General features: G+C 46.6%; 1 protein-coding gene and 1 long non-coding RNA gene across 13 annotated transcripts in view, besides 1 other annotated feature; both read right to left on the bottom strand.

Annotated features, from left to right (window-relative positions):
* PTPRN2 (protein tyrosine phosphatase receptor type N2) overlaps window positions 1–16,326 on the bottom strand; it is a 1,048,768-nt gene that overhangs the window by 1,031,568 nt on the left and 874 nt on the right. The gene's annotated exons all lie outside the window — the stretch shown is intronic.
* On the bottom strand, window positions 1,209–11,882 carry LOC124901793 (uncharacterized). Its single transcript, XR_007060623.1, has 2 exons — window positions 9,150–11,882; window positions 1,209–1,639 (listed from the first exon to the last, which is right to left on the bottom strand). It is a non-coding gene; the product is annotated as an uncharacterized LOC124901793 (long non-coding RNA).
* Window positions 9,714–10,008: an enhancer, noted in NCBI's record as "tiled region #10119; HepG2 Activating DNase matched - State 5:Enh". NCBI's record gives its function as "activates a minimal TATA promoter and a strong SV40 promoter by Sharpr-MPRA in HepG2 cells {active_cell/tissue: HepG2}" and the evidence as "EXISTENCE:reporter gene assay evidence [ECO:0000049][PMID:27701403]".

The raw sequence follows: 16,326 nt of genomic DNA on the forward strand, positions 1-16,326 counted from the left end.
GTGAAGTGTCACCCGGCTTGCTGCGGCGTGTCTCCGCCGTAACACGTGTATACCGGCTCAGCACGCGGCTGGGTACGGTTTGCAACGCCGAGAGCCCGCGGAGAAGCTTGAGCCTGTGAGCCCCCGTCTCCGACCACGGACTCACCGGGAAGCACCAAGGAGAACCGCCTCCTCAGGAACCCTGTGGAGCTCATGGCTTTTGTGACTGAGACTAAAAGCATCCATAAAAGCCCGACATTGTGGAAAGACACAAACGTGCATGGACCTGGTTACCTCTGGCCTTCCTCTGCTCAGAAGCCCACCCCTGCAGAGCAAAGCCCGGGTCCCGGATGGCAAAGCCATACGCAGGAGCCTTCCCAGCAGCCGCCGCCATGGCTGACGCACTGGCAGGAGCCGCACCGGACACTCCACCTAGTCCCTCTTCAGGTTTTAATCCATTCTGTTTTATTTCATTTGATTTTATTTCATTTTATTTCCAAGCCCTGTGGCAAGGCTTGGAATATTTTTTGTTTTTGTTTTTGCTTATTTTTTTTTAATTATGCCGTGTGTTGGCACACTTCATGAAAAGCACCTATTTCTGGCCAGGCACAGTGGCTCACGCCTGTAATCCCAGCACTTTGGGAGGCCGAGGTGGGTGGATCACCTGAGGTCAGGAGTTTGAGACCAGTCTGATGAAACCCCATCTCTACTTAAAAAATACAAAAATTAGCCAAGCATGGTAGTGGGCGCCTGTAATCCCAGCTACTTGGGACGCTGAGGCAGGAGAATCACTTGAACATGGGAGGCAGAGGTTGCAGTGAGCTGAGATTGCACCACTGCACTCCAGCCTGGGTAATAGAGTGAGACTCCAACTCAAAAAAAACAAAAACAAAAAAAAACAAAAAAAAACACACACCTATTTCTTTTTTTTTTTTTTTTTTTTTCTTTTGAGCAGGAGTGAAAGTATTAAAAAGCTTTAGAGCAGGAATGAAAGGAAGGAAAGTACACTTGGAAGAGGGTCAAGCAGGGGACTTGAGGGATCAAATGCGTGGTTTGACCTTTTGACTTGGGGTTTTATATGTTGGCATACTTCTGGGGTCTTGCGTTACTTCTCCCCTGATTCTTCAAAAAGCACCTATTTCTTAAGGATCCAAAAAAATAAAAACCAATTTCATTGCTGCTGTTTCCATTTCTTGGCAAAAATTAGGAAACACAACTAAATAAATATCCACGGAATAAAATGGTGCATTTATTCACCAAAGTCTTATCACACGTGGAGATGAATAAGAACTTCCCGAGCCAAGAACAGTATATACAACATGGAAAATTCTCTAGAGTTATTAAGTGAATTAACCTCATGAAATTCTACTATAAGATAAGCACTAGGAATGCACTGGAAAGAGAAAGGTGCTAGTGAGCTTCTGGAAGCACAGAAGGTTCTGAAAGGCAGGGAAGGTTCTAGAAGGCAGAAAAGGTTCAGGAGCTTCTGGAAAGCAGGGAAGGTTCTGGAGGGCAGGGACTCTGTCTTGCTCGTGTTTGCAAGTCCAATGACTAGCACATAGTAGGTATTCAGTACAATGTTCTGAAAAGAGGTTTCTCTGTCTGGCTGTCTAGTTGGGTGGAAAACTGATCCTCTTCGTTCACAGTGAGATAGAGGAACCTGAAAAGGATAAACATATGAATTCCCCTCAAAATGTTGTTTTGTTTGGTACTGGGTAGTGATGTGAACAACTGTGGGGTTAACTTAAGGCTCTAGTTATGCTACCTCCTCCAGAGAAGATCCACTTTGCCCCATCTAGCGGCTGAGGATTCCAGCAGCCCTGACAGCCCTGACCCACCAGGGCACTGAGCCAGCTCTGTGCCTACGAAGACAGCTGTCTGCTGAACCCTTTCTGGGTGCAGCCTGCTGGGTCCTAACTCGAGTCTCTGAGGCATACCAGGGACCTCTGCCCAACAGCTCTCCGAGGCTCCTGATCAGGACCGGCTGACACCTCTGGAAAACACTGACCCTAAGTGCCACATCCCTACCCTTCTCCTGGGTCTCTGCCCTCTGACTCATCACTGTGATCCTTCATTATTTCATACATTTTGTCCAGATCTGTTTTTGGTGCCAGGGTCATTGACTCCCTTAGTCCACCACTACTGGACACAGCACTCAGAGATCTTTGCCACTTAAATTGCTTTACACTTTGTTCTTCAGTAAAAAATTATTAAGCTGATATAGGAACAGCAGTTTCTAAATAAAGATGAGACTATAGTACATATTATCAGCCCACTGATTTTGCCAGTATAGTAAGCTTGCAAGTATGAGTTTATACTTTCTGAATGATTTACATTTTATTCCAACTAAATAAATAAATCTCACTCCATGACATTTTCTAAGCTGAGGAATAGTTGTTAATTCATTTTGAAATGTTCTTAGACTAAGAATCTAAATTTAAAAGAGTAATTAGCATGATGCATGATGAATGGACAAGAGTCTTCTGAGGCACACAGTAATGTATTTCTTCCCTCATTTTACTTTTATAAAAATACTTAATGGGAATTAATGATCATCCTCTGGTACAGATGCCTCATCTGATCATCAACATTTCTTTGTATGTCACTAACACTATACCCAGCTAAACAATTCAAGATGTTCAGAGAAATGGAGGGGGGATGGGAAAGGGAATCTGCTTCCTAGAAATGCAGAAAACATCAACTTTGGGTGCTGAGGAGGCCAGAATAGATTTTTAAATAAAGTCAAACAATTTTCAGAAAAAGATTATGTTACTTGTGAAAAGTCATTCGTTGGTATCAATTTTAAAAATAAAGAGTCAGCATAGGGGTCTTCAATCCAATCCTAGAGTAGCAGAGCTAGAAGCGGTCTGGAGGAGTGACCACTTCTCCTTTCTGACTGCCAGTGCTCACCACAGCTTCATGTCTCTGGGGTTCTTTCCTTGAAAATCAACCAACCAAGAGCTCGGGTCTCTGTCCAGGAAGGTCAACAGCAAGTCACTCCCCATGCCTGGGTCTGAATGTCCTTATGTGGAAGTTACTTATGAATCGATGAAACTGGACCAGAGACTCTTTTCCAGCTCTGAGAGTCTGTAATTGATGTATTCATTTATTCAGCAAAAATTACTGAACATATATATTGACATATGCCCACTCTTAGATGTCCTAAAAATTAAGCTTGATATATGGGCTAATGCTGGAGCCCCACGAGACCCCACAGCAAATGGCCTCTTGGGATCTGGTGCCAGAAGAGTGGGCCCCCTTGTGTCATTCTCAAACTATGCTGCAATTTCCATGGGCCTGTGAAGAGATTTATGGATTAGGTGACCCATTTTAACTATACGTAATCCAGAGATTTGAAAAGATTCTTAGAAAGGAATCGTGGATTGTTAATAAGACAAATACAAGAAAATCTGTACTTCCAATGGGAGCTCTTCTTTAGACACATTTTGAAGTGGAAAGCATCACAGTTAGACCCACAAGAAGGCAACCAGAAAGATTAAAAATCATCGTTCGGACTTTCTCAATTATAGATTTATGCATATTTTCAGTAGTGATGAGCACTGTTCTCAGCATATATTGTGCATCGAGACAGCAAATAACCATAGATTGAAGCTCTCCAGATTAGACACTTAAAAACTAAGTATCTAAAATGTTATTAATCACATTAATAAAAATTTTAGTGAATACAAAGAAGTTTTTGTATCTTCAGCAAAATATTTTAATCATTAGTGATGTTTAATTTCTCATTCTCTTAAATTTGTTTTGAATTTTTTATTATAAACATACAATGAGTTCAGTAGAGCACATATATAACTTGTAAATAAGAATATGTATCCGGTAAATAAATGCACATTTCTGTTGGTGGCGCCATCAGACACTGAGACACTGAGAGGAGGGGCCACAAGGGGGATGAGGCAGAAGCCTCCTGCCAGTGAGGGCCCAAGAGCCCTGTCCAGGGCTTGGGCTTCCTTCCTAAGGTTAGATGTGGGGCAGCTCTGGCAGAAGAGTGATAGGATCAGATTTTCAGTTGTGGCAGTTACTCTAGCCAGAACTGGAAGGTGGCATGGAAGGGGCCAATACTTCTTTCTTTCTTTTAAAGTTTGTTCTGCCATAATTTAGGCCAAATTCTTCCTCTGCTACATGTGAGGACTGCATGCCCGGCAGCTTCCTCCACATGCATCAGGCTGCTGGACAGGCCTTGCTGGCACACTGGGTGGGTGGCTCCGTGGAGTGTCCTGCCTACTGCAGGATGTCGAACAACGTCCCTGTCCGCCATCCACCTAGTCCCAGCAGCAGAGGTGAGAGCCACTGATTTACACGGCAGAACTGGCCACCACCAGACTACTCACCCTCTTCTCCTTCAGGCTGCAAATTAAAACAGACTTCCATCCTTTCTTCAAAGGACATATTTTTCTTCCCTTTTGTCATTTATTTTACACAGGAAAGTAGCATCTTTTAATAGTCTAGAAGAACTATTTCAACATTTGGAACATGCTAACAATATACCCACACATGGTAGAATCTTTCAAAATGAGGCTTTGATTTTGGAGTTCGTACTTATTTTATCTACAATCTTTGTCAAACATGTTATCTTATGTGAAATCACCTGTAACAATCTGGGACATTCTTTTTTTTCATAGTGCTTGACTTACCCTGAATATCTGACGTTCTTTCAGAGTGCTATGAAAAATATTAAATCATTAAACAAATGTTATATATTATTTAAAAGTACCAATAAACCAAACACGTCACTTTTTAACATTTGCTATTGACTGATATTGTCAATAATGTAGTTGGCTAGCCCCATAAGATGGGTTTTACTTTTTATCACTGCTCACTGTAGCCTCAAACTCCTGGGCTCAAGTGATCCTCCTGTCTCAGCCTTCCAAATAAGTGAGACCACAGGTGTGTGCCACCAGGCCCAGCTAATTTTTTACATTTTTTGTAGAGATAGAGTCTCACTGTGTTGCCCAGGCTGGTCTCAAACTCTTGGCCTCAATCAGTCCTCCCACCTCAGCCTCCCAAAGTGCTTGGATTACAGGCATGAGCCAATGTGCCCGGCCAGGTTTTACATCTATATTTCAACCCCTCAGAACCTGTGGAGGATACAAGAGGCATAACTACATAAGTATCCAAATTTTTCACACAGTTGCATGTTTTTATTTTCTCAGAAGGGCACTAAATCAACACATCTCTTGAGAACTACATCTTACTTCCCAAAGAGACAAAATAGTTATAACCAATAATAATTTCAGTATTACTAGAAATTATAATAAAAATTTAAAAATAAGTAGATTGTTTTATAGAAAACTAAACCAAGAATCTAATCTTTATTTTTAAAAATATTTTCCACTTGAAAACATTTCCTTTTTCAAGTGATCAAAATGCTTCCTTCTTGTTAAGCTCACAGCAATGAAAAACTCATTTAAAAAATGTTCTCTGAGTTTGCAACATCCCCATTCCATATGCTGTCAATACTTTCCCCGCTGGAAGAGCCTGCCTCTTACCCCAAATAAGCAGCAAGCAGGAACTCCCAGGCCTGGGTGAGGTGTGTCCCCTGGTGTGGTCACTCAGACAGAGCTGTGTGTCTGCAAACACACCAAGTCACTCACAGCCAGGCACTGCCAGCCCGGGCTGCCTGCACAGCAACCCTGTCAGGCTCATGCAGAAGAAGCCGTTTTCAGACCACACTCGTTTTGCAAGAACGAACATCTCTGTAAAGTTCTGCTTCTGACGTCACAGTTTCTCTATTCCACACAACTCTGCCTCAAAGCCTTTTTTAAGCACATTCCAGGCACAAGTGTGAGCCAGAAAAAGGGCTGAAAACATGAGGGGCCCTCTCGGGACAAGCCCCGGGGCCCACAGCCTGCACCACCAGGGACATGGGGGCTGCTAAGGAGCCTCCCACCAGCACCTCTGCCTGCCTCTCCCGCAGAGGCCTCCGGGGAGTAACATGCTGCTGATCTGAGTGAACATAAGGAACAGGAACACACCACAAAGGTCCCACAGAAGCACAGCATGGGGAGCCATGGCTGACAGCCAGTGGTCAAGACAGAGGTTCTGGAGCAAGATGGAAATGCACAGGGCATCTGGCTCCCAGTCCTGCCCGATGCCACAAACACCATGGGGCCTGCACAACACTGAGAGCTCCCAAACACCACAAACAGCATGGGGCCTACACAACACTGAGGGCTCCCCACCCTGCCTGATGCCACAAACAACATGGGGCCTACACAACACTGAGGGCTGCCCACCCTGCCTGATGCCACAGACAGCATGGGGCCTGCACAACACTGAGGGCTCCCCACCCTGCCTGATGCCACAAACAACATGGGGCCTACACAACACTGAGGGCTGCGCACCCTGCCTGATGCCACAGACAGCATGGGGCCTGCACAACACTGAGGGCTCCCCACCCTGCCTGATGCCACAAACAGCATGGGGCCTACACAACACTGAGGGCTGCCCACCCTGCCTGATGCCACAGACAGCATGGGGCCTACACAACACTGAGGGCTCCCAGCCCTCCTGAATGCCACAGACAGCATGGGGCCTGCACAACACTGAGGGCTCCCCACCCTGCCTGATGCCACAGACAGCATGGGGCCTGCACAACACTGAGGGCTCCCAGCCCTCCTGAATGCCACAGACAGCATGGGGCCTGCACAACACTGAGGGCTCCCCACCCTGCCTGATGCCACAGACAGCATGGGGCCTGCACAACACTGAGGGCTGCCCACCCTGCCTGATGCCACAGACAGCATGGGGCCTGCACAACACTGAGGGCTCCCCACCCTGCCTGATGCCACAGACAACATGGGGCCTACACAACACTGAGGGCTGCCCACCCTGCCTGATGCCACAGACAGCATGGGGCCTGCACAACACTGAGGGCTCCCCACCCTGCCTGATGCCACAAACAGCATGGGGCCTGCACAACACTGAGGGCTCCCAGCCCTCCCGAATGCCACAGACAGCATGGGGCCTGCACAACACTGTGGGCTCCTAAGAAAGCCCAAACAGCAAAGTGAGCACTCACCTTGTCTTCATTTCCTCTAAGAGGAAGACTGTTGTAACCTGATAAAACAGACAGATAAAGGATAGGATGTGACCACAGGAATGGGGTCCACCAGAGCCACCGATCCCCAAGTATGGGATGTGATGACAGGGACAGGGCCCATCCAGGGCCCACAGGTCTCCCCTTGGACTCTGACACAATCCTAAGTGGATGGAGTAAGGGAAAGGGCCCTGTGCAAACTCTGAATAGTGCACTGGGCCCTAACACAGACCCTGCACTGCCCGGCCACCTCCCTCTCCCCTTGCCATCCCCACAGGCCAGGAAGATGGGCACAGCAAGACTGCCCACCCTTACCCTGCAGGCCAGAGGGCAAAGCAAGCCAGCCAGACACTCACCTCGCTTCAGAAGAGCAAAGGGAACAACACCCACCCGGCAAGCTCGTTGACAAGACCAAAATTCAGGCACTTAAAAACAGTGCAACCTAGACATGCCAAGTATACTAAAAAACGTGCTCTGAATTTTGCATTTATCAAATATTACATAATAAAACATTTTAAAAGAAAGTGTTTAGCATATCTAAAAAAAGTGTATGTACTATCTCTTTTTATTATACTTTCTACTCAAACTTGTAAGAAATTTGTATGAATATTATTTAAGTCACCTTTTTTTTTTTTTGAGATTCCAGAGGCCAGGCATGGTGGCTCATGCCTATAATCTCAGCAGTTTGGGAGGACAAGGAAGGAGGATCACTTGAGTCCAGGAGTTCAAGCCAGGCATGGTGGCACATACCTGTAGTATCAGCTACTCAGGAGGCTGAGTGGGGAGAAACACTTGAGCCCAGGAGTTCAGGGCTGCAGTGAACTATGACTATGCCACTGCACTCCAGTCTGGGCTACAGAGCCAGACCCTGTCTCTGTAAAAAAAAAAAAAATCATAGATTCAAAGAGTACATGTATACGCAGGTTTGTTACGTGGGTGTATTGAGTGATGCCGACTGTTGGGTTTATGATGATCCTGTCACCCAAACGAGGAACACAGTACTTGATAAGTAGTTTTTTGACCCTTGGCTCCTTCCTCCCTCCCTTCTTTAGGCATTCCCAGTGTCTATTGTTCCCTTAAGTCCTACTTCTTCTCTTTTTTTTTTTGTTGTTGTTGTTGTTGAGACAGAGTCTCCCTCTGTTGCCCAGGCTGCAGTGCACTGGCACAATCTCATTTCACTGCATCCTCCATCTTCCAGGTTCAAGTGATTCTCCTGCCTCAGCCCCCCAAGTAGCTGGGATTACAGGCACCTGCCACTACAACCAGCTAATTTTTATATTTTTAGTAGAGACGGGGTTTCACCATGTTGGCCAGGCTGGTCTCGAACTCCTGACCTCAGATGATCTGCCCACCTCAGCCTCCCGAAGTGCTGGGATTACAGGCGTGAGCCACTGCGCCTGGCCAAGTCCCACTTCTTTTATTCAAGGGCTTTACAGTCATCAAAGGGATGATGTGAAATAAACTCCAAAGGGCTGTCACCATCAGTTACTCTCATCATCACAACAAAACCAGGCCTCATCCTTATTGATGTAACCTGTTTGGATATGCCTATTAAGAAATATAAATGATATTACTCTTTAAAAGGTAATGGCAATGCTTTTGCAATAATCTCTATTGTCAGTTCATCTGAGACTTGGATTTTCTAAAGTAATATTGTTTCTAACAATAACAATATTCCATCCTGTCAGCCACCACCTCCAACATTAACTGTAGAAACCTGGAGCATCCAAAAATAACAACCACTATGACTTATCAGAAACTCTGTGGTTACCAAGGACTCTCCCACCCATCTCAGGTAATCCTCTCAAAAACATGAAGAACCAGGTATTTTGCTCAAGGTGTAAATCCAGAGAGATTATAGGTGAAGTCTTTCCATTTCTCTTGACTTCTAATATGAGTGCAAGTGCAAACTGTAAAGATTATCTGATTGGAAAGATAAGGTGACCTCTCAATCTGTCAACACGCTGCATGGAAGCAGTACTGTCATTTAATTTGTGCTCTTGAAACAGCCACATATTCCCTATTCCCTACCATATTTGCAGAAATCACCAGCAGTTTCTGACTCTGCTAGAATCCTCTTTCTATTTCAGTGAAAAAGCCCCATTTCTGTTACCTTAACTGATCATAATTTCATGTTGGCTATTTCATAGAATCAAGGACCATAACAGCATAACAAAGCAGGCACATGGATGCCGCAAGTCTTCTACCACAAGAATGGGTGCCGCTCCATAGGAACTGATGGCTGTGCTTCCCACAGCAGCTCTAACCACAGCTGTATCTCAGTGCAGAACACTCAAATCAGATGGAAGTCCAGTGGTCTCAACCTTGGCCTGTTTTCAGGAAAAGCAGAGAAAGAGATTCAAGAACTCTTAGTAAAAGAGATGTGAGGGACAAAATGGACTTGAGGTGGGAAGTCATCAGACAGCAGCTCCTGCCACTGCTTTACCTATGTTCCATCCCCTGCCTCCGGCTAAGAAATGGAGCTTGCGCTGGTGTGCACAGTTGAGTCCTCTAGAAGAGCGGCTATTTCAGAGAATGTACACATTGTGGGGTCAGCCTCAAATTGTACCACAGATTAACTGCTGCTTTGAGCTGGATTAAAATCACAGCCTCTGACTGCCAATTTTATTAGCGGCTCCATCCATTTACAAGTTGAATGTATTTCACATTTGGAACCAGAATTCACTTGCATGATTAATATGAAGTCCTTTCCTTTCAGAAACCAGGTCAGCCTTCCTTCTGAAAATTCCTTCCGCCAAACAAACCATTTCTAAACATGCCCTTTGTGCTGTATACAGAACACTGCATCAGAAGCCTTTTCAAAATGACCTTTCAGAACCACGTGGTGACGGAGCACCCACATCACATGATAGAAAATTCTACACTTTCCTTCCACCAGCATAGTTCAGAAAAGAGTAGGGAGTCCCTGAACCAACCCCCTGCCTGCTTGCCACTCTAAACATCAAACCTAAACAGAACCTACTCTTAAATAAATGTTCTTAGGAAAGTAATCCCTCTCTCATCCCTTATTCTGAAGTGGGTTTTTGTTATGACAAGTCTGAGATGAGAGCTCACTTCTTTGGTGTTTGTGTCACCACGTTTTTAAAAACCTGACGGAAGCCCAGAAAGCATTCGGAACATAAAATTTTTATGGACACATCGAGTAGTGAATCCTAAGGGTGGCATTTTCATTCCCTGCCATTATGGGAAGGACAAAAGTCTCCAAAAATAAGTCGCCCATTTCCAAACATCAAAATTCCCTCAGAAGGCACACCAAATATTTGAATCTGACACCCAAAACAAAACCCAACTCAGAAAATCAATCCCCTGCTGGTGCCAAAGAGCACTTTAAAATCTCCGTGGCCTGAGGTTGAGAAGCTTCTAAGAGAAAGGCAGTTTGACAAGTGAAATGGTCCCCACTCCTGTAAGAACGAGACAGACGTCCTTGTTCTGTGCAACCAGAGAGACATGTTCTGACAGCGTGTAGAATCCTCGGCCCATCCTGGGATGACCACTGGGAGAGAAAGGAGGCTCCAGAGACCTAGGACCCCATCCCAGGACTACCCACCAGGTGTCCTGTGGTACATTCCTTAACCACTCCAAGACTCAGTCTTTCTATCTGTAAATTGAAGATAGAAATACCTATGCGGGTTATTCTGGGGAATACATGTCAGTGAACATGGAAGGCTCAGGGGTTCAAGATTTGGGGGTACCCAGAGGTACAGGGATGGGAGAGGCTGTCACTGTGAAGGGAGCACACTGGGAAGTTTTGGGGGTGATGGAATGATCCGTACACTGACAGAGGAGGTGGCCACCTGAATCTATATGTAACACAGTACACCAAAAAAGAAAAGTCCATTTTACTTTATGATAATTTAAAATTAAATTTTAAAAAGAAAGCTCCAGAATCGGTTTTGTAACTATTAGTTCATCCCCTGTCACCTGCCATGGCCTTGAATCACCCTCACAAGACACAGTCCTAGTCCTGGCACTACCCAGGGAATGCCCTTGGTTTTCTGAATCCCAGTTAGGACTATTAGAGGGAACAGACAAAAACAAAGGAAGTGAAATGCCCTCTTACCACTTCCAGAGATGAGAGTTAACACTGAGTAACTGTCACCAAACACTCATCATCTCTCGTTTCTTTGTGTTACACACACAGAAGCCGTTCAAGACAAATGCAGCTCGGTAGTCCGAGGTCCAGTTTTCCAGCTGCCTGCAAAAGCCACCCACTTACCAGCCTCGTGATGTAGAGTGACAAACAAAAAAGGTATTTAAAATGTGCAGAAGCAGGTGTTTCCAAGGGAGCCTCACCCATTTTTACTTCCTGTTCTAGGTATTTAAATAGTGGCTGTGGCAGAGTTCTTAGAGATAACAGGAATTAAAAGAAAAAAATGCCCTTCCTTCAACACACTGTTTCCACACTGTTTCCAAGCAGCAGAAAAGTGGATTAACTGTTTTCTGCTTCTCAGGTTTTCTGGCCTTCTATCAACTAAGATTAAAAAATAAGTCCAGCTGGGTCTACATTTATGAAGGTCAACTTAAACTAATGTGGAAAGAGCTGCCAGGTGCTTTTATGTGGTGTGGAGGGTTATCTGCCATGAATTTAGCTGTTTGCTTTCTCTGAGAAGTGGAACATCATGTCAGGAAAGATAAGAGAGGTTCTCAGCCGAGGCTCATCTGGCCTTCGTCTCTTGGGATTCGGCTGGATGAAAACCCTTTCTGCCATTTATTAAGCTTTTTCTTCACCGCTCCACGCACAAAGAATCCTTAAACCTGGTCGGGCACAGTGGCTATGCACGTAATCCCAGCACTTTGAGAGGCCAAGGCAGGAGGATCACTTGAGGCCAGGAGTTCAAGACCAGCCTGGGCAACATAGCAAGACCGTCCTCTCTCAAAAAAAAAAAAATTCATTTTTAATATTTTTTGTTCATTTTTTAGTTATTATATTTACTCATGAACCCAAACTAAGACAAAACTTTTTTAAATTAGCCTGGTGCAGAGGCATGTGCCTGTAGTCCCAGCTATTCAGAAGGCTAAGATGGGTGGATTGCTTGAGCCCAGGAGCTCGAGGCTGCAATGAGCCATGATTGCGCCATTGTACTCCAGCCTGGGTGACAAAGCGAGACTCCATCTCAAAAAAAAAAAAAAAAAAAAAAAAAGAATCCTTAAACTAGTAATATTTACACATATCCAGGCATATCTTAGATATCTGTCACCCAATGCCAGGGAGCTATTATTAGTTTGGGTGATGTTTGGCTGCAAACACTTTTTCATGAGGAATTTGAAATTCTAAGGTAACCCTCCAAGAGGCAGTAGTCATGGCTCACCCGCAAAGCCAGTTGCATTGAGTGGAACTTTCTTAATGAGACCATGTCTGATGACAGCTTAGCTGAACCCCTATGTCTCCTTGAGGCTTCACTCCCCTTCCTAGTCCCATATTCCTCACTTTCAAAATCTAAAGAAAAGTCGATGAGTAACTGCATCCAAAAATTAGGTAATCCCGCATGAACACTAGGACAAAACAAACCCAGAATGCAGAAATTATTGTCACATAAAATGATCAGTGTTACCACAGAGTTCATCAGAAGATGGGGCCTTGGGATGTTGAGCCTTGGACTGCACATCACACCAGCTAACCTTTGTCCCGTGTACCCTGTGTCGATAGCCCTATTCTTCACAGGAAGCTGGAGACCCAACATGCTGACATGTTTCATAGCACACAGAGATTCCCGCTGTGCACCATGATGGGGCCCAACACCATCTCGGAGTAAAGCAGAGAGAGGACTATGACAAAGTGATTGCCCACCCCCACCTCCCCTCCCTGGCAGGCACCACTGACCTTGATCACCAGGTACAAAAACAAATCAGCTTGGAAGAAGAGCTGCCAGACGCTAACACACAGCTAAGCTCAGCACTGAGAAGAAGTCATTTTAAAAGCTCTTCCATTCCCTGCCCATCCCTTCTGAGCCTGACACCCTACATCCTGCTTCCTGAATCTAGCTTCATGAGTGAACCCATTGTCTGGCACCTCCTTCTTCCAGAAGCCTAGGGTTACAACACACCCCATTCCTTCTGCCCAGAACATCAGCCCTTAGGCTGATGGAGACCGAGCAGGAGAGACAGGGAACAACAGGCAGAGAAGCTCACAGATGTGCAAGGAGCAGGCTCTTCTTGGGGGAAGGGACAGGTTGCTCATTACCATCCAACCAAACGGAATCAGAGGCTCTGGACCCCAAGAAGTAAAGATAGATTTGTGCTTTTGTGGCAGTAAGGATCCTTTGATTTAAAAATAAACAATCACGCCATCTCCTTCACAAAGCCAGCAGAGTCCTGCTCCGATGGCTCTGCCTCTCGGCTCTGTGTGGGCTCCCTGGTGAATGAAAAGTCTGTGTAGGCAAATCGGAAGGCCAAAACAAAGGAGCAAAATGAACAATCTCCTGTCTTCACAGCCAGGTGCACCCACTGGTTCTGAATCTGGATTCTCGAAGCAAAATCTGCATGAAAGGCTGACTCTATCATTGGCAAGTGAAAGTTGTGCTTCTTTAGCAAAAGGAAGGGGGGGCCTTTATAAAACTGCCCCCCTAAACATAGGGGCCACCTGAGCAGGTTCACAAGTCAGCCTCCATGTAAGTGAAGAACAGCGTAAAGCCCTTAACAAAGGGCTTATGTTCAAGTTAAACTTAAGGAAAAAGCACTGAGACCTGCACAAAGGATGCCCTGAAATCACAGAGAAAGGCGGGCCGGTCGGGAGGAAAACTCAAAGACTGAAGCATATGAAGAAAAGACCATCAGGCTGTCTGAACAGCCCTGCATAACACAGCAATGTTATTTTGGCTACAAGCAAAGCTGAATCGTGTCACTAGAAAGGATGCCATGTTCCCCTGTGTTCAGCTTCGATAATGGTCTCACAGATAATTAATTAATGCCATAAGGGAGCCCTTCCGACCAGAAAGGAACAGGCAGAGTGGGTGATGGGAGGGCAGGAAACTAAATAAATCAGGGGAAAAGAGAGGAAGCAGTGAGACTTCCACTACCACAGGGTGCTGCCAACAGCTGTTCTGGAAATAAGTCAGCATCGTGGAGTGCGGCTCAAGGCCACGAGAATAAACTCAGAGACAGCAGTTATCGACCCTGGGTTTCATCAAGAGCTCCTTCACTGTCAACATGAGAAAGGCCCCTTGCTCAAGACAAGGCATCCTATATAAAAAGAATTGGTCTTTAGGTCTTGTTAACATCAACCTCTAGTTCTAACCTACAAGGCTGTTTGACGTAACAGAGGAGCAAAAACTTGGATCTCCTTGAACCACATGTGTTCTGGAGGCCTCAACGTGAAGTTGAATGTTAATAGGTAAATAAATAAATAGATTACAAATGGCACAGCTGGGCCGGATTTAAGGCCGCTCTGTGCATCTTTAATCGAGCCTCATTATTTGGAACAATGTAGTTGGCGTGACCATTGCCAAACAAGATCCAGACAGGAGAGAAAGAAAAATAGCAGCACCTGCCCGGCACAGGTAAGAAAGCTTCTCCTTGCATTCTCCGTGGATTGTGTTCTGACAAAATGGCAGCAACACTGAGTGAGGATGGTACAAGGTGGAGGGGACATAGGTAGCTGACACATGGCCACATTCTGCCCCAAGGTGGCTCCTGCAATGGGAAGACCACATATACATCTCACTCTTTGTCTATACCACTGGGGCAGTTTCCAATTACCTGAGAATGTAGGTGATGCCTTTCACCTGGAGTCCTCGAAACAATTTCAACGATGTCTGCATCCTTAATGTTTTCCCACAAAATAAGTGTGTCCATAAGTCTCTTTATGACACAGCCTTCTGTTACCAGTGACACCGTGATCAGAGCCGAGGGAAACATGGCACCAGTTTTAATTATATGAGTCAACTTTGCTGGTAGCCAAAATAACACTGCTGCATTGGGCATTATCATTCAGTTTAGCAGCTTTCCTCTCTTCATGCACTTCCATCTTTGGGTTTTCCTTTGCTGCCTCTCTCAGCTACCCCCCACCTTTCTGACTTTCTCTGTGATTTTGGAAGAATGCTGTGAACTAGCCATTGCAATGGCAAGGAAAGCAGTCAAGGACCAGCCTCCAGCTCACACCATAATGACCTACCTTCCCTGGGACACTCCACGCCCATGTGTGCTTCATGTGTAGGTGAAGGGCGGCACCTGGCCTCAGAGCAAACAACTCTCCCATAAGGTGACTGGCCAGGTCAAGCCAGCTGGAGGAAGGAATACAACCCCAGCAAGAGGCCACTGGTGCACAGCTGGGCCTTCTTTCCTGATAGGGGGCAAGGCACCAGGAGGAGGCAGAGTGAGCAAGGCCCCCAAGCCTCCCATGCAGGACTCCCCCGTGCTCCAGCATGGAAGGGTGAGGGCTTCACCTGGGCCCTGGGGGCACAGTGACTGGGCTACATCCCAGAGGTGCGGGACCAGCACAGACACTCCCTCCCAGGACTCCAAGGCAGGTGAGCAAGGACCTCCTTTCCCAGCGCCTGTGTTCCTTCTAACAGAGACAAGCAGGTTAGGGAGTGTGAGGAAACCTCAAGGCAAGGGAGGAATTCAGGGGACTCTGGCTTGAGGGAGGGGAGCGTCAACTCAGGAGTCCAGGGAGACTGTGTCAAGACTCCTGGTTCTCTGCAGTTTTTGTTTGTTTGGGATTTTGACGATAAAGCACTACTGGAGACCAGAAGGGCCTAGAGGCCGAGAGGAAGGTGCCGGAGCCCAGCTGCACTGAGGTGGGTGCAGGCGGCGCTGGGCAACGGCGAAGGACCCCCCTCCATCCCCGCCTGCGTTTGCTTCTGCACCCCGTGGACACCGATTATCCTAACCTGTCATGTGTAATTCTGGCCCCGAAGCCGCCTGGAAACATTGGCTTTATGGTAAATCTTCTTAATAAACAAGATTAGCAGGAAAGGAGGTGCCGGGGACTGGAGGTTTTATGGGTTTAAAACAGGGGCGTCCGCCTGGGAAAGCAGCGGCTTCCACTCCCTCGCTGCCGTGAAGCTGCCGCCCTCCCTTTCCTCCCGCGGCTGCCACGGAGGAAAAATGTCCTCTGATTTCGGCGGCGCTGCCCGCGGGGGGGTGCGGGGGACGCAGGTAGAAGCGGGTGCAGCGGGACATCCGAGGCCCGGCCCCTCGCGGCACACGCGGCGGAACACGAGCGGGGGGCGCACCCACGCCGGACCAGGGCCGCGCGCTCCAGGGCCAGGGGAGTGCCGAGTGGCGGGGCTCGGGGCGTGAGGCCCAGGAGCCGGGGTAGAGGCAGGAGG

Source organism: Homo sapiens, chromosome 7 (genome assembly GCF_000001405.40).
Source record: "Homo sapiens chromosome 7, GRCh38.p14 Primary Assembly".
NCBI classification, from domain to species: Eukaryota; Metazoa; Chordata; class Mammalia; order Primates; family Hominidae; genus Homo; species Homo sapiens.